This window comes from Homo sapiens, chromosome 7 (assembly GCF_000001405.40).
Source record: "Homo sapiens chromosome 7, GRCh38.p14 Primary Assembly".
NCBI lineage: Eukaryota > Metazoa > Chordata > Mammalia > Primates > Hominidae > Homo > Homo sapiens.
The window spans coordinates 29,838,690-29,861,317 of NC_000007.14; the positions used below are offsets into that span (position 1 = coordinate 29,838,690).

At 43.2% G+C, this 22,628-nt stretch overlaps 1 protein-coding gene across 2 annotated transcripts in view, besides 1 other annotated feature; it reads left to right on the forward strand.

Moving 5' to 3' along the window:
- Window positions 1-22,628, forward strand: part of WIPF3 (WAS/WASL interacting protein family member 3) — a 110,554-nt gene that overhangs the window by 32,182 nt on the left and 55,744 nt on the right. The window lies entirely within an intron of this gene.
- Window positions 15,881-16,459: an enhancer, noted in NCBI's record as "OCT4-NANOG hESC enhancer chr7:29894186-29894764 (GRCh37/hg19 assembly coordinates)". NCBI's record gives its function as "activates a minimal SCP1, AML or CMV promoter by ChIP-STARR-seq in naive H9 embryonic stem cells {active_cell/tissue: H9 hESC(naive)}" and the evidence as "EXISTENCE:reporter gene assay evidence [ECO:0000049][PMID:30033119]".

Genomic DNA, 22,628 nt, shown 5'->3' on the forward strand with positions numbered 1-22,628 from the left:
CTACCACAGTTAAACATGTGCATCCTAGGTAGATATCCAAGAGAAGTATGTGCCTGCATGACCCAAAAGACATGTTAAGAACATTTGTAGCAGCATGAATAGCACAAAACTGGAAACAACCCCCTATGTCCATCAATGGCAGAATGGATTGATAAAATGTGTGTTATGGTCATGCTCTAAAGTATTATACAGCAGTGAAAATGAATCAACAATACATGCAACAATGTGGAGGAATAGCCACGTGACAAAAGAATACATGCTGTATGATCCCATGTATATAAAGCTCCAAAACAGAAAAAAATAAACTACAGTGTTTAGGAATGCAAGACAAGCTGGTAAAATTATGAGGAAAAGCAAGAAAGGGATAACCATAAAATCAGGAGATGGCACCCTTTGGGAGGAGAGTGGGGGACTCAGGATCAGAAAGGCCCTGGGTGCTTCTAGAGTGCTGGCAAGACTCTAATTCTTGACACAGGTGGCGATGACATACAGTATCACTTTATAGAAATACGTTAAACTGTACAAAATTATTTTATGTGCTTTTCTATTTGTGGCACTGGACAATTTAAAAGGTTAAAAGAGAAAAAAATCATATCCAAATTAATTTGTAACTTCCAATGTCGTGATTGATTCAGACAAGAATCATCTATGAAAGCTAAAACCACTGGGTGAAAGGTTGTGGGGGAAAAAGATGTTCTCAGGGTCAGAAGTATCACCCACAGATGCTTCTTACTGCAAAGGGGAAAGTGTCTCTTTAAAATGGATCAAACTTACCGTCACGTGTAATGGAATGACCTCCTATCACAAGCCTCTGCTGGATACAAGGAGGCGCACAGAGCGTCACCCTGTGGTAATCTGCCCGGAATGAATGACCTCATGAGCAAGCAATCAGACACATGCAGAATGTGGGACCTTCTGCAACAGAGGCTGGCAAACCAGGACCCCTGAGCCACAGCCAGCTCACCACCTGTTTTTTATCGTCCTCCAGCTAAAACTGGTTTTTACATTTTCAAATGGCTGGAAAAAAATTAAAAGAAAAGTAATATTTTGTGACACATGAAAAGTATACGAAATTCATGTTTCAATCCATAAATAGTGTTATTGGAGCACAGCCACACTCATGCAATTTGTCTATGACTGTTTTTATGCTACAGCAGCAGAACACCAATTAAGCAAAATGTTATTCCTCAAAGAATTCCATTCTTCTCACTAGTAGGCTTGAATTTTAAAAATTTTACTCAATTATTATTACTATGTTCTGAGTTCTGTCAATAAATATTTTGTGGAAGTTTCTTTTCTCTTTTGTTATATAAGTATATACATTATATTCTAGATTTTTGCCTCTTGGCCCACATACCTAAAATATTTACAGCCTGGCCCCTTCCAAGAGAAGTTTGCCAACACCTGTCCCGCAGTCAGCTGGGCTCATTCAGCCTCCCATTCCCACTACCCACCACCCACCCACTGCAGTAGCCAGAGATCTTGCATGCGCACATCCTCTGCTTCTCCTCTCGAGAACTTCCTGGACCCTGTTGAGCTGTGGCCCACTCCATCCTGCATGGTCTGGCCCCTGCCTGTCTCTAAGACCTCCTCCTGTGCCCCTGTCCTGGAGTCTCCTACTTAAGGCCTCTGCATAGCCATTGAGAGCCTGGAAAGGCTCTACACAGTCATCCCAGCTCAGGTGTCCCTTCCTCCTACATTACTGGCTTTTATATCTTTTATATCTGCAAACCCCCCACTTCAGAGCAGGTAGTAGTTTTTAACTTTTTTAAAAATTTGACTGGGGTCTATATTTGATGTTTTGTGTCACTCATGCCTGGCTCGAAATAAGTACTCAACTCACTGAATGAATGAATACATGAATGAATGAACAATTATTTATGTAAATTGGGTTAAGAAATGGAGTTAAAACTTTTTATAATCAGTGTTCAGGACTCTAAACATCTATGTTGTGAAAGAAAAAAGTATATTTGAAGGTAGAAAGCATGGTAAGAAAGACTTTGTTTAGGACCATCACAACAGGTGGATAGGATTTTGCAGTAGGGGAGAGAGATTGGGCTCAACTCCAAATACAACATGGGCAAGAGGGAATGTATAGCCCAGGAGCAGGGTGGGGGTCAGTGAATATACTAAAAAGAAACATCAGGGCTAAAGGAGATTCTGGCTGAATGCAGCTAACAAGATTCTTACTGAAGACAAGCCAGGGTGATCGGACATACCCTGGTGGTTGGTGAAGGATAAGGCACCTGATCGGATATCAAGGGTGATCAGATATCGAGATGGGGTCGTTCTTGCTAAACCGACGTAGCAGGGGGTTTTGCCAAAACTGGATTTTACAAGGGAGTGCACAGATGGGCCTGGGAGAAGCTTTGGAAGCTTGGTTAAATTTTGGTTACAAGGTCAGGATTCTCTGGTCAAGCAGAGAGCCTTTGTCAGTGGCATAAGCCAGCATGTCAGGTTTTATTATATGTAATCTTTGTAAGATGGGGATCATTTTGTGTGATATGTCTGATCCTCTGTAACGAAATGCAAACTTCACACCGGCTCTGGAAGACCTGGGGAGTAGGTTAGGGGGAAATTAGGCTAAACATTTTTTAGTTTCAGCCTTCTACCTCTCTCCCCTCACCCCTTCTTGCTCCTCCTCATCTCCGTCGCTGATGAGCATCTTTTCTTTTTTCAAGAGCGTGGAACAGAGAAAAGGGCTGATGGAGCCTGCTGAAGCTGTGGAGCAGGCTTAAAGCAAAGCCAGACGGGCTCTCTTCATCTCCTTTCCCTCTTTTCTTGCTTCTGGTTCCCCAGTTTTTGAGCTCCTTTGTCTGATCTCTTTAAAATTCAATGTTGTCTGGCACAGTGGCTCAAGCCTGTAATCCCAGCACTTTGGGAGGCCAAGGCAGGTGGATCACTTGAGGTCAGGAGTTCAAGACCAGCCTGGCCAACATGGTGAAACCCCATCTCTACTAAAAAATACAAAAATTAGCCAGGTATGGTGGCGAGCACCTGTAATCCCAGCTACTTAGGAGGCTGAGGCAGGAGAATGGCTTGAACCCAAGAGGCGGAGGTTGCAGTGAACCAAGATCACACCACTGCACTCCAGCCTGGCTCAAAAAAATAGTAATAATAAATAAAAAATAAAATCCAATATCAATGTCAAAATTGCCCACATGGTGTGTTGGTCCACTTAAAATTAAATTATTACTGTTGCTTTACTTATAAGATGTAACCTAAAAATATATCTAAAGGAAATAGAATGGATTTGATATTTGAAATGCATCAGAATTTTACCAAACTTTTCCTTTCAACTGTACTTTGACCCCTTGGTAGATTCCAAGATGAGCAAAGAAGCCCCTCGGGGGCCTGTGATTTCGGTTTTCTTGCCACAGTCCCTAACCATGGGCAGTGCACTCTCCCTACATGTCACTGACCAGCTGAGAAATTCTTTGGAGTTGGGTTGCCCAGGCAAAGCCTGACAGTAGGGTTTATGGCTACAGCATTTGTGTTTATTTATAAAATAGAATGTGGATTTTTATACCATTATTATTTAATGTTGCCATTCAAGTTTCAATATCCTAAGGAAGAAACAGTTCACCTAGGGCAGGCCATGTCTTATTATTTAAATACAAAGGGGAAACTGGCTTGATAATCACTTTTTACCATGAAAAGCAACGCTCTAAGTAGGAAGACACTGAGGTGCCGTATATTTCTGCCTGCCCGTTCCGGGAGTGATGTTTCATAGAATGCTGAAGGGAGATTACAGTGAGAGGCTTATCGCACCCCTAGCTGTTTTCCTCCCTCGTTCCTGTTTGCCAGAGTCTTTGCTTTCAGGAAATTCAGTGGCATGATTTTTCTCCTTGTAGTCTAAGGATTGCATGATTCCTCGGCAAAGTGGGCTTTCGAGTAGGAAATATAAGCTGTGACATATATTGGGAGGTTTTCCCACCGTCTTTAACATGCTGGGGTGCATGCAGTGTAGAAAAACATGCCAATCTGTGAAAGAAAATGGAGAAAATGGAGTGCCCTCTGAAGTCTCATGAGAGCTTTTTTTGGAATTTTGTGTTTGCTGTTGTTAAAAAAAAATGCAGGGGCAGAGGGTCGCTAGGTGGAAGGGTGCTTAGTAGAATTGCATATTGCACCATATTCTGGAAAAGGTAATTTGCATGTCTGCTGGTTCATTTGGAATAATGAAAGGCTTAAAAATTCTTACACACTGTCACTCACTTAGGTTCCCCTGACACTCTGGTACTTCGATTAGTGTCACTAATGAGGGACTGGGGACGCTTACCAGGAACTGATAGTGGCCACTGGAATAAGGATAAGGCATTTGCATCAGGCCAAGCTGTTAGGATAGTATTAAGTTGACATTTGGTTGCTGCTTAACAGTTTGCAAAATGACACCTTTGTCTTTAAGCAATTCTAAAAACTTGATTTTCCCTCTCTTCTTTGGTGGTGAACACCAGGAGCAGGAACATGGCTTTAGTGAAAAATGAGCTAGTGTTGGCAGCAGGTTTCCTTGGTCTGGAAGAGAAAGAGGTGTGGCAGGACCTGCCACTCATACTTCCAAAGGGCCATTCAGGGTGGTATTTAAATGTGTTTCTTTTTTCACAGCTGTGAGGTGGGAGGGGTGGCAGGAACAAAGAGGAGAGGGCTTGCAGTGGTGTGCAGGAGGCAGCGATTACAGACTCATAATGCCCAGGACTTGGCAAGAAAAGCCTGCGAGCGCTTGTTAAGGGCCTTTGTTGAGTTTCATAGGAGCCCGGAGCATAAGCCGCTCGCAGGCGGTGTCTGAGCTGAGGGTTACGGCAGGAAGGTGACAGGGGGTACAATGCCAAAGGGTGACCCTAGGGTTTGTCTCTGGAGCAATGATTCCTAACTGGAGCTTTCTGTTATACCCAAATCTTCTGGCTCTTTGCCTTGGAAATATTTTAAGATTCCAGGGTAACTAACGATTCCTAGAAAACTGCCAGCGAACCTTTCCTCCCTCCACCAGGTTTGTCTTTTCATCTGTACGCTGCTGTGCTTGCGAAGGTCACCATCGTTGGGAGGCTGGGATCTTTGGAGCCACTTACTTCTTTCCCCAAACTGTTCTTTCCTTCTTTAACCTTTCTTGTCATAAAAGGGAAAAAAAAACTCCACCCACGTCAGGTTGTTGCTGGTGGTTAGAGAACCAGCCCTGCCCAGGGAGGAAAAGCTCTCATCAGGTGGGGTGAGGAGGGGTGGCCCATGCTGAGCTCCACATCTAGTGGTGCTGGACTCTGCAATGTGACTTCCTGGCTGCCAAGCCAACACGCCACATCTCTGCAGTGGAGGGCTGGCTTGGCAGCCAGGAAGTCACGTTTCCTAGATTGTTTAATAAAAGGACAGGTAACATGAAGTGAGAAAAACAGGATACATGTAGACAGTGTAGTCCCAATTACGTAAAAGAAAACTGTGTGTGCACAGGCTTGCCTATGCACTCTCACATAAAGGCTGTAAGGACATGGAAAACGTGTCATCACTGGGTATCTGGGGTGGAAAAGGGTTGGGTGATTTTTATTTTCTTTTTTTTGTGAGTCTGCGTCTCCTCAGATGTCTACATGGAACATTTGTTTCTTTTATAATTAGAAGAAAAGGTTTTTAAAAAGGAATGAATTATCACTTACCCATTGGCTGAGTTGGATCCTGTAACAATAATGCTTCATAATAACAGGCATCTACTAAATAGCTATTGTGCCCCCAAGTACTGTGTTAAGCACTTAACATGGATTGTCTAAATTATCTAAATATTTACAACAATCCAATGAGGTAGGGACCGGTAGTGCCATTTTAAGGATGAGAGAACTGAGGCACAGAAAGTTTACTTACGTGCCCAGTGTCACACAGCCAGTCATGGGTAGAGGCTGGATTCCTCCCCTGCCTTTCTGGCCATTGAGCCTAACTGCCGTGTGCCCCACTGCCTCCAGCTGCGTGAACGGGTTCAGTAAGTGGTACTGATGACTAGGCAATGAACACTTATCTAGCATTTACTATGACCTTTGCATTGGCCTGTGGACTAGCACATAGTAATTGAGTTATTCTTCACAGTAACCCTTTGAGGCAGGTACTGTTCTCATTTTAAGGATGAGCTAACTCAGGCACTGGGGGCACGTCACTTACTGGGCAGGGCTATTATTGGGACTCTGGCCGAACGGCTCCCGGCTGTGCTCTGAAGCGCTAAACCAAAAGCCCTTCGATGCAGATCTTCTCAAGGATTACTTCTACTTCTCTCAATCTAAAAGCCAGGAAGTCAATGGATTCGGCTCCCCATACCTTGGCCAGAGCTTCCACATTTCCTCCAAGCTGCCTCCTGAGATTGCTGTTTTCTTTCCTTTTTTTTTTTTTTCTGTGTGGTTCCATTGTTTTCCCCACTTGCTTTTTGGTTCTTCCACCCTTCTAATAGGAAAAAAAAAAACACAAAAAACATATTGCATATTGTCCTCGGAATAAAACTCATGGTTTAGAGAGATTCTGATAGAGAATCAGCATGGAAAAAGAAGATGCAGTGCAAAGGAACTCGGTTTTGTTTTGTCTTCGTTTACAGCTAATGGCAGATGAGCTCAGAAGGATAGGGTCTCTGCTGCTAGCAGTGCGGGGCACATAGTGAGGACAGTGGCTGCCCCTTGAGCTCAGTGACAGCAGACTGTGTTCTTAACCTTGATCAGGCTATCATGCAAATTTAACTGAGCTTTGGCCACACAAAATTACTAAGTCTCTGCCTCTGAAGAGTTTAGAACCTGAATCCAGAGAAACCAGGGCATGACATTGGTCACTGCTTGGTCATGAGAAAGATGAGTATAGAATTGGCTTCTTATTCCTAGACTAAAACTTTGTACCATATGTTGCCTCTTCATTAAGTATTTCCTGAATACGGGATCCTGAAGTCTCATCTTTAAAGAGCCCTCTTGCCCTCTGAATTAGTCACCTTTCATCCCTAAGCTTGCTTCTCTGCATATCAGGCATTAGATGTGCCTAGATAATGTTGTGAGCTCTCTCCTAAACAGACCAGAGTCGGATGAGGGATGAGGGAGGATCTTGGGGCCAATGGTCACAAAGCAGCTAATGAGAGATCTGAAGACAGAGAGTCTGTGCCTAGGTCAGTCCGAAGGACGTAGTAGGCACTCAGTTCCTAGCCTTTCTTCCTGATCTAGTGAGTTTAGTGCAGATACTGTAATTCACCAGGCAAACCCACTATGAGCTAACCAACCACGATTTTCCATTTGCCGTGAGCCTAAGCCTTGAAAGCCAGAACAACATTCTGCGTTGTGTTGTATGAGAACACCATCAACATTGGACCTGGCTGTGATATGAAAGTTATTTTTTAAAGAAGAAATAAAATTAAAAAAGAACACCCTCAATGCATTTAAATTTTAGTAAGAATATTTTATAAAGCAAATGCAGTTATATCAGAAGTAACAAATATAGGGACAGCAAAATTTAATACTTGGGTATTATTTTAAAAGCCATAAAGTATCTTTTGGCACAGCCTTTCTCATTCCAACTCATTATTTTCCAAGAGAATAGACCCTGTGCCTTTTGCTTTGCATGAAGATTTTTTAAAAATTCACAGAAAGGAACACAGCGTACCCACTTTGTACATGCTAGCAATAGATTTCCATTTTAATAAGGCCTGTTCACAATAGAGGAGTCTGAATGTGTTTTCAAGTTGGTTAAAGCAGGATGCCACCTGTACCACATAGAGTATTTAAAACACAATGGTGGCCAGGCACGTTGGCTCATGCCTGTAATCCCAACACTTTGGGAGGCCCAGGCAGGTGGATCACCTGAGGTCAGGAGTTCAACACCAGCCTGGCCAATATGGTGAAACCCGATCTCTACTAAAAATACGAGAATTTGCTGGGCATGGTGGCGTGCGCCTGTAATCCCAGCTACTCGGGAGGCTGAGGCAGGAGAATCGCTTGAACCTGGGAGGCGGAGGTTGCAGTGAGCCAAGATCACACCACATTGTACTCCAGCCTGGAAGACAAGAGCAAAACTCTGTCTCAAAACAAAAATCAAAAAACAACACGGGGTGTAAAAACAGGTTTAAACACGTTTGTGTCCCACAGTTGTCCAATCAGCACTCATTGTGCTAAGCTGTCTGCTTCAGTAGGGATCATGTAATGGTGCAGCCTGGTGTATTAAAAACAAAACGTGGATTCTAGAGTCATACACCTTGGAAGCAGAATTTCAGCTGTGCCATTTCCTAGCCATAGGATGTCAAGCAAATTACTTAATAACTCTAAGCCTCAGTTTCCTCATTTGTGAATGGGACTAATAATTGCCACTTCCTAGGGTACATTGCTCCTAGAATGGAAACTTCATAGAGGGATTGTTTTTGTCTATTTTGCTCACAATGCATCTTTAATGCCCTGAACAGGAGTATAGCAGGCATAGAGTTATTGTGAGGATCCCATAAGATAGCAGTAGCAGCTGTTGCTTACCAAGAGCCTCCTTAGTAAATAGTACCTACTTTCATTTTGGGGACTGGAAAACAACTGGATAAATAACCCGATCTTGGACCGACATGTTCAGGTCAAAAGTCCTTGTGGTCAATACAGGGCAGGAGGTCAGACACTAGAAGCCAAGATCAAAATTGAGAACCTGAGTTATCCAAGTGGGAAGTCAGGCCGGCAGTCTGAAAATAGCCCAAAAATAGGTGGTATGGGACCAAGGGAAAGCTTCTCCTATGCCCTCTGAAGGTTTGTTAAAAATCACTGAAAAGAGGCCAATTAACAGGAGAAAAGGCATATAAATTTTATTAACGTGTACCTGGGAGTCTTTAGAATAAAGACCCAACGATGTAGCGGAAATTATCTATTTTATGTTTAGGTTGAACAGAGTATTGACAGCCGTGTGGAAATATGATTAGACAAAGAGGGTAGATCCGATGCTAATAGACTGAACAGGGGAAACCCAGCAAGGTGTGTCTGTCTAGACTCCTTCGGCCTCCCTGAGCTGCATTCCTTCCTTCTGGGTGTGGGACAAGACCCTCTCTGGAATGAGGTCTTATGACCTACAATCAAACAAAACAGGTCAGATAATTTCTTTATGGCCAGTTTTTACACTGAAGGCGGTGGGGAGTTAGAGTAATATTTTTAGGTTTATGGCTGGCTTTGGGGAAAAGGGGCTCTGGTTTCTATGACCCTCCTTGGGGAAGAGGGGTTCTAGTTTCTGTGGTTAGCCTTGGGGGAGAATGGGACTGAGCGACAAGAGGTCAGGTGAAGGTCAGAGATAAACTTTTGCCTCTGAGGCTACTTCTGAGGCCTTCATTTTGGGGAATTGTTTTAATTCCAAACAATGTGCAGATGTTACCATTTCTAGGTCATCTGGGGTTCCAAGTCCATGGGGCCAGTACTTGCTCCTGCAGCATGATTCTTAGGAGTGGAATGGTTTGTCTTCTCTCCTCTTTTGCTGAGTTGAGTGGACTTGGGCCCACGGGTGTAGCAGGAGGTACCTGGAACCAGCCACAGATTAGACCCACATGGGTGCAGCTATAGGACTGTAACTGCTAAAGCTAGCAACAAATACACGAAGATCCGGGGGCATCCTGAGCATCCACTCCAGTGAGATGGCAGCTCCATTCAAACATTTTAAACATTTGGAGAGGACTTTGTTTTCTAAGCTGCCGTTGGTTCGTCATTTCACAAGCAGCTTCACCAGTAGCAGACCAAGAGGGAAGGGAAGGACGTGGGTTTCCCTAGACTTGCGTTTCCCTGGAAGGTTTAATCGTGATACTCATGCAAGAATTCTGGATCACCTGAGCCCAAGCCCCTCTCCAAAGCAAAGAAAGAAGTTCTTTAGGCCTTGTGGCAGCTTTGGGATGCTGAGATTCTAGTGCTGTGGGTTGGTCTTTCTCTACCTGAGCCAAACATTCATTTAAAACTCTACTACCCAGGGAAATTTGAACACTGATGGGATATTGGTTTATATAAAGGAACTGTAGATAATTTTACAGCTAATTTTATTTAATAATATGCTTGTTATATTTTAAGAGCTCTTTTCTTCTATAGCTATATACTGAAATATTTGTGGGTGATTTCGTACAGTGTTGGATATGTTTTTAATAAGCAGGGATTTGGAGGGGGAACGTGGGTTGTGGAAAGACATAACAAGATGGGCTGGAGTTGATAATTGTTGAAGGTGGATGATGATGCCTGGAGGCTCAATTGTACTACTCACATCACGTATGCTAACAATTTTTCATAGTAAAAAAACTTTAGTGGACATCAACAACCTCACATTTAGTGCAAAATATAAGTGATTTGGCAGAACCAAGGAAGGAGTTATGTAGCATGCTTTCACTAATTCAGGTGGGCATTTGAGATCAAATATTATATGCTTTTTAATTTAAAAAATAAAAGTTCATAAGTCATCTGCTTGAAATTCTGTATGTCACTGTGATTTATTCCCCTTATCTCGACCCCAGCCTAGCCCAATCTGGCTCCTGTTTTTCTAGGGATTAACGTTAAGGTTTTATTGTGTTGTTTTGTTTTTAAGCTCTCCTGCCCTAATCGTTGAGTTGACATATGCAATAGTTTGGGTCTTTTCTCCTAAGAGTGGAAATGGATACAAGCAACAGGAATGTCAGAGAAGCTGTGGGACTTGCCATCATAATCTTCCTTGCTACTTTTTATGTAAATAAACCACAGACCAAATGGGAACACCAGATATCAAACAATATTTTGTGAAACTGTTGCATTTACTGTTCTCTGCCCTTGTACAAGGACATCTATCACTAGCTGGTGTTTTCTCCCACAAAGCACAGAGGACATTGGGGCAATTATTAAATCAAAAGTTCCCAGTTGGCAACTCTTCTTGATGCCAAGGACACCAGATATGGAAGAATTTTCACCTTCAGTGTTCTCTAGTCTGACTAAATGCCTCTCGTGACTGTATTGTTGAAGAATTTCAGAAGGTGGTGAGGGGGAAGGAGCCTTAAAGCCAACTCTAAGAGAAAAGCTTCTGGTCATGGAGATAGCATACAAAGTGTGTGTTGCGGCTTTAAAAAAAAATTTGTGTGCATACACGTGTTTGTATTTCTTTATATATACATATTTGTTAAAGACCATCATCTGAACTATTAAGAGACAATCAAAGGGAAAAGAGGTCTTTGGTTGTGCTAGACCTTAGCATAGGTCAGTGTATGTTCTAGAACAGAAACATGTCAGATGATGGAGTTTTCTAGAAAATTAAATCTAAGACCGTGGTGGAATAGTTATTTAAGGGCTTAGCATCATCAGAGCAATCGTTTGTATTTTCTTCTGGGTTGCTTTTGGGAATTGCTTTTTGTCAGAGGGAAGGGTATGTCTTTAGGGATAAAAGAATAATTGGAAATTTAAAATATCTCAAGACTCATTCATATGCCTTTTGGGTCATCAGAAACTATATCTGTTTACTAATACTTGCTTGCTCAGATAGTTACATTTAAAAGGAGCATGTTTTTCCATGAATGTGAAACTTCATTTCGTGAAGAGGCACCATGCTTGTTCCCCATAACTTCCTCTAGTTTTTGTTCTAAAAAAGTAAAATTTTATTGATAGGTAGTTCCTAAAAGGAAAAACCAAAAGCAATGGTTGATGTAAAATTAGAGAGATTGACTTTGGAGTATAAAGGATAATGGAAGAAAGTTCAGGAGCCATGACTTTGGAGTATGAAGGAAAAACGGAAGAGAAAGTTTAGGAGCCTTGAATTAGGAGTTTGAAGGAGAATGGAAGAGAAGGTTTAGGAGCCTTGAATTAGGAATATGAAGGAGAATGGAAGAGAAGGTTTTGGAGCCAAACTCCAGGGCCTCTCCCGAGCTGGAGGAGCACAGCAGGTCTGGTTCTTTGTGGTTACACAGGGCAGGGCAGCGCCCCTTCAGTGATTCTCAAGACGTCACAACATGGGTACCCGGGGACTTCTTTAGACCTCACAGTCCACCACAGAGATTCAGGCTCACACAGGGGAACATGCCACCCCTACTCACCCCATTGAGAACCACTACAGAAAGTGAGGATTGAAAGAGGGACAATGGAGACTCACCAATAAACATGATTCCAGGGGGCCAGAGAGCACCATGCCCCACCTGGCACACACTCACCTTCCCCATGTGTTGGAGGGATACCTGAGCTAGAAAGAAAAGGCCACAGGCCTGTGTGTCAGGTGGACCTGGCTCCCGAGTTTAGTCATCTCTGATATCTGGGCCAATTCTTTTGGACCTCACTTTCCTCATCTGTGAAATGGAAATAATAATACCTTTATGGGGTTGTAAAGGAATTCACTGCAATGATGCTTTAAAGCATCAGCACAGATCCTGGAACATACTAAGTGTTCAGTTATATCAGTGGCAGTCCCCTCTCCCCCAGTCCTTGGCATCTCGGGATGGTGCTCAGCCTCACTGAGTTTCGCACTGTCCTCTCTGGAAATACAGCAAACCCTCCTGTGTCGTATTATGCTCTTGCCAGGCCCGACCTTGCCGGCCATGTCACCTTCTGCTTCTGTGCCAGGAGAGACTGCCCTCAGGAGGGTGCTGAGACTGGAGGTGGGGGACGGAGATTGAACCCCCCTTTCCCCAGGGCTCTGCAGAGCAGAATGTGAAGCTCACTTCCTGGTGTCTGCGATGTTCTCCTTGGCTCGGCCACAAGCAAGTTCACACATCAGCTCCTCTTTACCTTATTGGGGTTGTCACTTTTTAGCCCACCTCCTCTTCTTTTTTTGACCGAATCTTTTCAATGGAATCATCAAATCCTGACCCTCATCTGGGAAAAACCCTGGCTGCTCCTCCTCACCAGGGTCATGCAAGACCACTCCCTCCTCACCATTGACTTACATTCAAAGTAACAATATACTTTTGTGTTCCAGGCACACAAAATTTCCGTGACTGACAGTGCCAGGCTTGGCCTGTTTGGCTTAGATAAAAGCAATTGTCAAGCAGTGGACCTGGAAGGCTCGGTGGACTTTATGACGTTCAATGTCGTTCTTTCCTGCTGTTGGCACAGATGGTGAGGGCTATTGGCAAGACCAGCTGCATGGCCGCATGCTGGTGCAGGCTGGGCTGACTAGACGGGTGCCCTGAGAGCTGAGCTTCTTTCACATCTGCCTCATCAGTGCCCTCTGGGTAACCTTGGATTTCTGTGCCCTTCACCCTTCAGGCCCCACAGTGGGGACAGTCCTATAGGGAGAGGTTTGAGCGTGCTATTGATTTTCTTTCTTGTTTCATGTTGCTTTTGTTTCATTTAAAGTGTTGCTAGACAATGCCTGAAGAGAAAGGCTCCTCTAAAGCTTTTTATTTTAATTTTACTTATTTTTATTTTTTTAATTTTTTAATTTTTAATTTTTGAGATGGGAGTCTTGCTTTGTTACCCAGGCTGCAGTACAGTGGTACAATCATGGCTCACTGCAGCCTCCAGCTACTGGACTCAAGCAGTCCTCCTGCCTCAGCCTCCCAAATAGCTGAGACTACAGGCACACAACACCATGCCTAGCTAATTTATTTTTTATTTATTTTGTAGAGACAGGTCTCGCTTTGTTGCCCAGGCTGGTTTCAAACTCCTGGCGTCAAGCAATCCTCCTGCCTTGGCCTCCCAAAGCATAGGCATGAGCCACGATGCCTAGCCTAAAGCTTTAAACATGTTCTTCAAAGGCTGGGTTCTCAAGAGTAAAACAGGGAGAGGCTGGCCAAAAGTAGAAGGTGCCATGACCATACCACATCAGCTTCCTAAGGAGGATAGAAGGAACAAAATGAGATTTCATAGGAAAACTCTTTAAAATACAAAATCATGTACAGCCTTGTTCTTCAGTGAAATGAACTGAAATATGGCAGCTATATTAGGACATATTATTCTTGCTTTAACAAGAGCCAGACACCAAGAGAATCAAGACCAACAAGAATCATCTTACCACTCAGTTCCCTGATTCACTGCTTTGACACCTGGAGCAGTAGCCCTAGGGCTATGCAACCTGCTGGAACTTCTTGTATGTCTTCCCCAAGAAACAGGTGCATATTGCGAAACCACTTGTTCTCTTTGCTGCCAAATGTAGTTGCCCCCTACCCTGAACTCAGGATTTCTAACACAGACCCAGTGGTGATGGCTGAGTTTCAGGTTGGGAGGACAAGTTTAGAAAAAGGAAGGAGTGTGTGTCCAAAGTCACTTATTGACAGGGAGACTTTTCCACAGCAATTATAATCATACCTTCCTGTTATTATTCATAATAGTAATCCTCTAACATTTTGCTGTCAGCAGTGTGACAAATTAAAAAACATCTCCCCATAGAATATCACTGGATCTTTCAACACCTTCATGAGACAGGTAAGGTCTAATTTTGGGCTCCCCTAAAAGTAGATTCTGAGACAAGGCTTTGGGTGCAAGTAGTTTGTTTGGGAGGTGATTCCTGGATGCCCTGATAAGAGAGTGAGGAAGTGAAATAGAAGAGGGAGGAAAACCAGTAATGGGTGTACGGGGAACTGGGGCTGCACCCCTGCTGTATCCTGGAGAGACTGTGTGGAGCCTGCCTCAAGTCGTTCCACCAACTCTTGTGACTCTCAGGCACTTTCCCCATCTGTCTTGCAGGGGTGTGCCTTCTCCTCTAGGAGTTCCCCTGGCAGAGTCCAACAGGCAGCTAGCCCAGAGGGGAGGTGAAGTCATCCTCTGGAATAGGCTGAGCAGGTGTGCATGGGAGACCCACAGCATCTGCTATGGCTGTGCTTCTCACAGGGACAGGTTCATAGGGGAAGAAACAGGCACAGTGAGCTCCAGTGCTTGCTCAGAGTCCACAGGACTCCATCCCCTGCCCTCTGTCCCCTCCACCACAGTGCATCCCCTAAAGCCCCAGGGCAGTCAGTATTAGGAGACTAGCAACAGGGCCAGTAGCAATGGCCTTCTCTGACAGTGTTTCTCACACAGGGGCCCTGCATGGCTGGTGTGGCCCCTTCTTTTAGAGGCTCTTTTAGAGCATGGTGATTAAGATTCCTGAGCCAGACTTCCTGTGTTGCCATCCCAGAAGTTCTGCGGCCTTGGTTGAGCAAATTACTTAAATCTTCTGTGCCCTAGTTTCATTCTCTATTAAAATACTACCTATCTCATTATGGCTGATGTGAAGACTAATTGAATTAATACATATGAAGAGCTTAGTAGAGAATAAGGACCATCCAGGTGTTCACTGGTGGTGGTGTGGTTGGGCATAGCGATGCTCTTTTTCCTTCTACTACCGTTTTCCTGGCTTTGGAATTAATGTGAACCGGTAAAACAAAAGCTCACATTTCATTGCAGCATTTATGTCTGATAGGGATCTCACGAAGTTTAAACACCATTACACTTCGGATGATTTATGTATCACCTGCCTTCACTGCACGCTGGTAAACTCCCTAAGGAAGGAGATTGCACTTGCCTTGCCGTTCCTGGCATCAGCAGCATGAATCAGTGAGGCACCCGGCCTTTGGAGCTGCTCAGGAAATACGCACTCAGTGAGGAGAGCACATCCTTCCATAGGTTCACCAGTGACACCAAAGCCTCATGTTACACAGCCTAGCCACCTGCTGCTGGTGGCATTAATGTAAGAAGAATTTTAAAGGCTGCACAAAAGATGCACTTCTCCCAGAATTTTCTCTATATTTATAGAATGCTATTATAAGACCCTCAAAAGTATTTTCAGCTGTGGCTCGATTCTTTAATCCCAAGTAGGATGAAATTGAAAGCTAAAATATGGAGTGTGGCATTTTAATATGCACTATTAGCATCCACCACTGATGATCAGTATTAATGTTTTATTATGGATAGCACTATATGCCAACAGGTGGACTACATTTAACACTTGTTTGACTTTGACACACTCTGAAAATGCATCAGGGCCAAATTGAGGAGTCCTGTTTAACAGATGACGAATCCCTTCCACTGAGGTGTACAGACTCCCCTGCAGCAGAAGTGACCTGGGCCAGGTCGCTTGTTCACAATTACCACGTTTCTTTGATAAATGTCAGAGGCACCCAGTAGAGGGAGATGGGTGTTGGCTCCGCAGCCTGTGACTCGGTCGTAGACTCAGCTTCTTGTGGGCTGAATTATGTTTCTCTGGCCAAATTCCAATGTCGAAATCCTAACCCCCAGTGCCTCAGAATGTATTTAGAGAGAGGGCCTTTGAAAAGGTAATTAAGATAAAGTGAAGTGCTAGTGCTTCACTTCCCATGTGAATACACAGGGAAAAGACAGCCATCTACAAGCCAAGGGGAGAGGCTCTCAGAAAAAACCAGCCAGCCAACACCTTGGTCTTGACCTTCTAACCTCCAGGACTCTGAGAAAATAAGTGTCTGCGGTTTAAGCCACTCAGTCTTTGTACTTTGTTGTCAGCCCTAACAAACTAATGCACAATGTCTTTCTTAGCAAGCGTGTGCAGAAACCAACTGAGGCTCCCTCAGCTCTATGAAGTCCCAGCTTCCATCCTCTGAGATGCTGCCATTAACCTGAGGAAAGGCTTTTAGGGGTAAACGTATTTTTCTTGAGGCAGAATTCAGTGTTCCTGGACAGAATCTGCACCTTGTATCTTCACCCCGTGCTCATACATGGATGTGGATGCACATCCTTTCCCCCAAGTGTCTGTGCTGTTTTGTTTTGGTCGTACTTGCTTTGTTTTGCCTTGTTCTGTCTACTGTTTAGAAAAAGTGCAGAATCTCTGATTAGAAGGAGCCTTTTAGGGCTTTGCTTCTAATGACATAAATTGCTGAGTGTGCTGCAGTAGCAATGCATTTAGAATCAATGGACAGATATCTGCTATTTCTAGAAGCTTATATGGAGAATTGTGTCAATTCCTTGCAACCTTGGATGGTCTCAGCATTCATTATAGGACAGTCTTTCAGTAATCACAAAGTGAATTGTCCCTCTCACATGCCATGCAGCAGCTGTTGGCTCCCTTTTGGGGGCCACTGTTGTTCTAATTGATTCTTGCTGGAGTGATGGGGCTCAGTTATGGCTGGAGTGGACGAGCAGACCCAGGGTTAGCCTCAGGGGGACTTAGTGTAGGCTGATAGTTGCAAACATGTACCAAAGAAACCACAAGAAGTGAATGTTAACTCACTTTTTACAAATCATCTCACTCCTGCCCTTTCTTTGTCTCCATTTTTTCTCACTCTACTGTCCCTTTATTATTTTGTCTCTGTTGCCAGAGTGAGCAAATCAAAGTACAGGACACCCTGTTAAACTTGAATTTCAATTAAATGACATATAATTGTTTTAGTATAAGTGTGTAGCAAACTCACACTAAATCAATTATTTGTTGTTTATCTGAAATTCAGATTTAACTGTGAATTCTGTATTTTATCTGGTAACCCTATGTCTCTCAACATGACTTTTGTGTGTTTCTTAGATATGTATGTATATATGTAGATAGGACTATAGACATACACATAGCTATCTTCCTCACAGACTTTGCTAATCTGTCCTTTTCCATTGTAAACCTACCCCACCCTACATATCTCCCACCTTTATTCATATCTTTAGGGGTTTTTATACATATCTTTTCTTCTTCCTTTGTTCATGCCTTTGTATTCTATTCCCTATTGTATATCTCCCTAATCTATCCTTAAAAACTATGGTATTTCCTCCTAAATATTGGTCATATTTAATACGTACTTTAAGTTTCCTTCTTACTTTAAAATTCTGAGAAGTAAAAATCTTCAGGCCAGGCACAGTGTCTCACACCTGCAATCCCAGCACTTTGGGAGGCCAAGGCTGGAGGATTGCTTGAGCCCAGGAGTTCGAGAATAGCATGAGCAACAAAATGAGATCTCATCTCTACAAAAAATAAAAAAATTAGCCGAGCATGTTGGTGTGCTGTCTGTTGTCTCAGATACACAGGAGTCTAAAGCAGGAGGCCAGCTTGAGCCCAGGATTGCTTGAGCCTGCCATGAGGTGTGAACTTGCCACTGCACACTAGCCTAGGTGACAGAATGAGACCCTGTCTCAAAAGAAAAACCAAACAAAACTTTCTAGCTATCTCTTTAAAAACAGAACTTGCATTTTATTGTCATTCTTATTTATTTGTTTATATTGATTTTACCTTGTCAGATCAATGGCTCGTCATTGAAAATGGGATGATACCCTTAGACAGAAGGTTGGTGGGGTAGAATACTTGTCATGTAAGAACCTTCTGGGCAACATGGAAAGTTTAAGGAATAAATATTTTTTCACTCTTGTCATATTTTATTAGCAAATCTCAAAATCCACCAGTCAATAGGCACAAGTTACTCTAATGTCTATTTTTTCGCAAATCACTATGCTAAGCTATGGGAGACCCAAATCAGTGGAGCCTTATTTGTCTCTGCCGTCAGGTAAGACATATGAAGAGATAATATGAAGTAATATATATTCATTGTAGCAAAGAATGTAGGCTGAGCGGGAACTGAGTGATAAGAGACCTTGGTGATTAAGGGATTGGATGAGAATGGCTGCCCTCCTTACCAGCGTGAAGCACAGAGCAGACAGTGCTGGGGCCCTCACTGGGAACTCACACACCTCCCTCACCTTACACCCTAACCACCTCCCTCACCTCACCTTGTCCCCAACCTGTGACATAGGGTAGTTAAACTTTGCTCCCCCATAATCTGGCATTTCAGAAGATAAACTAAGTTGTTTCTCTTAAAAAGAATCATGGCAACGTGTCCCTGATTCTTTTGGAAAATATAAATTGATGAATTTATTTTTCTTGATTTTTAGTAGATTATGCCCCAACTCATTCCACAAAAAGTTGAGACAGTGATTTTCCCGCAGAGTTTTCCTACACCCTTTCCATAGTACTTGGCTTCTACAGATTTTTTTTTCTGGTTTATAAGATGTCTGATTTATTTTTTGACAAAATAAACCAGAAAGCTCAGTGCAGGTGTCCACCAATTCAAGGAGAAGACACACTTTTCAGAGCTCTGCTTCCTATGGCCCAGCTGCTGTTGGCCATTGGTGTTACCTGGGGTTTCTACATTCTCCCACCTCCTACCCAGTGACTTCTCCCAGGGATGTTGATGACTGTGGAGCTTTAATGTATGATTTTCTTTAAACTATTCCATGTAAACATTGAATATATCTCTGTGTGTATATGTGATTTAATTTTTAAATGGACTTTTTTAGAGCAGTTTTAGGTTCACAGCAAAATTGAGCACAAAGTACAGAGAGTTCCTGTACACCCACTGCTGCCACACATGCACAGCCTCTCCCACTGTGCACATCAAGACTTACATTCTGTATTTTTTAAAGATTCATCATCTTTAAAACCCTCCTTTTCATGGTTGTTGCAGCATGAACCTATTGTTACTCAAAATGAGCAGACTGAGTACCAGAGATTATTGGCATTTTAATGTGATTTCTTTAAAATGTTTATGTATTAGTTTTTATGGTAAGTGTCTTACAGTCATATTACATAGCCATATTTTCTCATATTACATAGCCATATTTTCTGCCAGTACAAGTATTTTTGGTTCTTAAAGTGAAATGGAATATACTAGAGATCAGAATAGTAGCTGACACATCAAAGGCAGTTGATGATGTTTGTTAAACTACATTGATATTCTATTTCTCAGAGTCTTGTGACTTCCAGATGCTTCATGGTCTTTAAATGGCTTCTCCCCTCACCCCACCCTCAACAAGGCTGTAGCCTCTTCCATAGCGTGTGGGTTAACTTCACTGAAATACCAAGGAGGCAGAGACCCATCAGCACAAAAGAAGGACAGTGTGTAAGGATATATCTTAGGTTCAGAGCAATGGTTACATCAGCCCACACCACTCTCATTACATATAGCCTCAATCAGCAGGCCTAATTTTAGGAGGTGCAAGACAAAAACAGTCGAGAGAAGTGAACTAAAAATACACCCCCCTTATTCTGTTACAATGTACTTCCTCAGATAGTTGGTCTGTTCCATTAAGCAAAATTCTCTGCCTATCATAGTTGTCATAAAGACTTTTCGATGATGATTAAGAACAATGAGAGCCTACATTTTATTTTGATTCATTGCAGCTGTCGTGACCTTCCACTTATTTCTGCTCCTTTTTAGAATTGCTGGCATTCACTTAAACAGATGCTACTGTACTTTTCAGGGAGAGTTTGAGGTGGCCCCATTTTATTAATATACAAAGAGTGTCATTAAGGAGGGTATGTTGTATGAGTCACACTTTAAGTATACCAGTGGGCCCCTTCTGTGATTCTCATGACAAAAATACTTGTTTCTATTTTCAGCTCCCACTGTATTTTTCACATTGAAGAACCTATTTTATTTTAATGAAGCTTTAAGAGTGCTTATTATGTATAAGACACTATGCTCAGTACTGGAAGGGTTGATTGAGACATAATTCCTGCCTCAAGGAACTTACTTGGAGAAGACAGATACATGTCAAGATGTGAAACTAGGATGTCTGCAGTTGGCACTTCTTAGGGAGGGAGCTGTTTTTGGGGAAATATCTTCATGAACTATGGAGGTAGGGCTGGAACTTGAGGGCAGGAACAAGGTAGCAGTAAGAATGGATAAACCACACCACATGAGACAAGGCGAAGAATTCGTTCCATGCATAAGAGGCTGGGCAGAGGGAGAAGACGGTTGAGCAGGGAGCTGAGAGAGAAGATCCAGAACACTGGTTTGAGGTTTGGGACAAAAGGAGCGCTGGACCAGGTGACATTCCATGTCGGGAAGATCAAAGGCCATCTGAGGGCCAGGGATGCCCAGTGCTCAGTGTGAGGGTGTTGATGATGCTTGGGAGGGAGAGCCTTTCTGTTCTCTACCACATTTCAATAACATCTACTGTGCTTATCAGGAATGCTTTATGTGAGTGTTTTGGGGTTTCTTTGTTTTGTTTTGTTTTGTTTGGGTGTGGGGACTATCCCAGAAGGTTCTGAGCTGCATTTCTGAGAGCATGAGGAATACAGCAGAGACAGGATATATGAAAGTAGGAACCTGGAAGCAAATGTGACCCTGAGACACAAGCTCCCCTGAAATTGCAGAAGTCTTTGGCAGGCATTGTACTTCCTGAGGGCGTCAAGCGGGAGGTCTGAGCCAGTTTCCTCTCGATCTCAAGGGCTTGGGAAACCCCAGCTGATATCTGCTTGTCTGGGTTAAACTGTTAAAATGCATGGCCATTTTACATAAGTTTATAAGAGTGGAAATGCACAGAAGGGAATAATTAATTCTGACTCAGATTAACTTAGGGCTCCCTGAGAGAGCCTTCATAGCTGGGCCTTGGAAGCTGAGTGTGAGTTCAATAAACAGAATTGGAGAAGGCTGTGTCAGGTAGAGGGAATGCCTGAGAATTGGCCTTGAGACACCAACTGTGTGGACAGGACAGGGAATGGAGAACTAGGCATGTGTGGTTGGCATCTGTAGTGTGTGGGTGGGTAGAAACATGGACCGTGGTCAGATTCTGGAAGGCCTTAAACTCTGTGCTTAGTGAATTTTGACTTAAGTCTGTGGATGTCTGATCTGCATCTAGAGAACTAAATTGGAGAAACAACATGAAAGTTTGTAAGGAAAAGTTTTGAAAGCAAGAGTCCCATTAGAAGACCATTTAAATCCATGATTCTCAAACTTCCCACTTCCACCTATACACCTACTATAGTTTGGATACTTGTCTCCCCAAACCTCATTGTGAAATGTGATCCCCAGTGCTGGAGGTGGGGCCTAATGGATGGTGGTTGGGTCATGGGGACAGCTCCCCATGAGTTCGTTCTTGCTGTATTAGTTCCCTCCAAAGCTGGTTGTTAAAAAGAACCTGGTGCCTCCCCCTGTCTCTCTTCCTTCCTCTCTTACCATGTGATCTGGACACACTGGCTCCACTTTGCCTTCTACCATAAGTGGAATCAGCCTGAAGCCCCCACCAGAAGCAGATGCTTGCGCCATGCTTCTTGCACAGCCTGCAGGACTGTAAGTCAAATAAACCTCTCTTTTCTTCATAAATTACCCAGGCTCAGGTATTCCTTTATAGCAACACAAACAGACTAAGATAACCCCTGGAGGATGATCTACTCCCATCGCTAAGATTGGAGCCATAGTTCAAATGGTATGGGTGAGAAGTAAAGAGAGTGAACACAAGAAATTGTAGTAGAACTAGAAAGGATGGTAGGAATCAGAGATACATTTGGAGGCACGGTTGATAGGTGGTAAAATTGACAAATTATTGATACAGGGAATTGTTGGTTTTAAGTCTGGTTAACTTGAAAGATATTATTGAGCTCTGTATCACAATAGGAGTAAGAGATGCATAGGAGTGTGTTTGTGCACGGTGGGGAGCGGTGGGGGTGGGGCAGAGATTATGAGTTTGGTTTTGGATGTGTTAAGATTGAGGTACTAGTGGGATATTTACATGGAGATGTTCAGCAGCCAGTTGGAAATGCAGGCCTGGGGCTGCACACTAAGCTCGTTCTTAAATGACTTATCTATGTCGCATAAATGCCAGCAAAGCCCAGAGGTAGATGGAGTAGATTCTAGGTGTTTCAGCTCATTCCTGAGCCTCACCATGGAAGTAATATATGGAAGTGTCTGGATTTCCCCCTACTCTGTCCCTGCCCATAGGAGATTCTCAGTGAATGTTTGTTTGAGTGGGAGCAATACCCTCAGTTTGGTGATTCTGGGGGGAGTGGAAGAGTTTATACTTTACTTGCAAATCATGATATGGAAG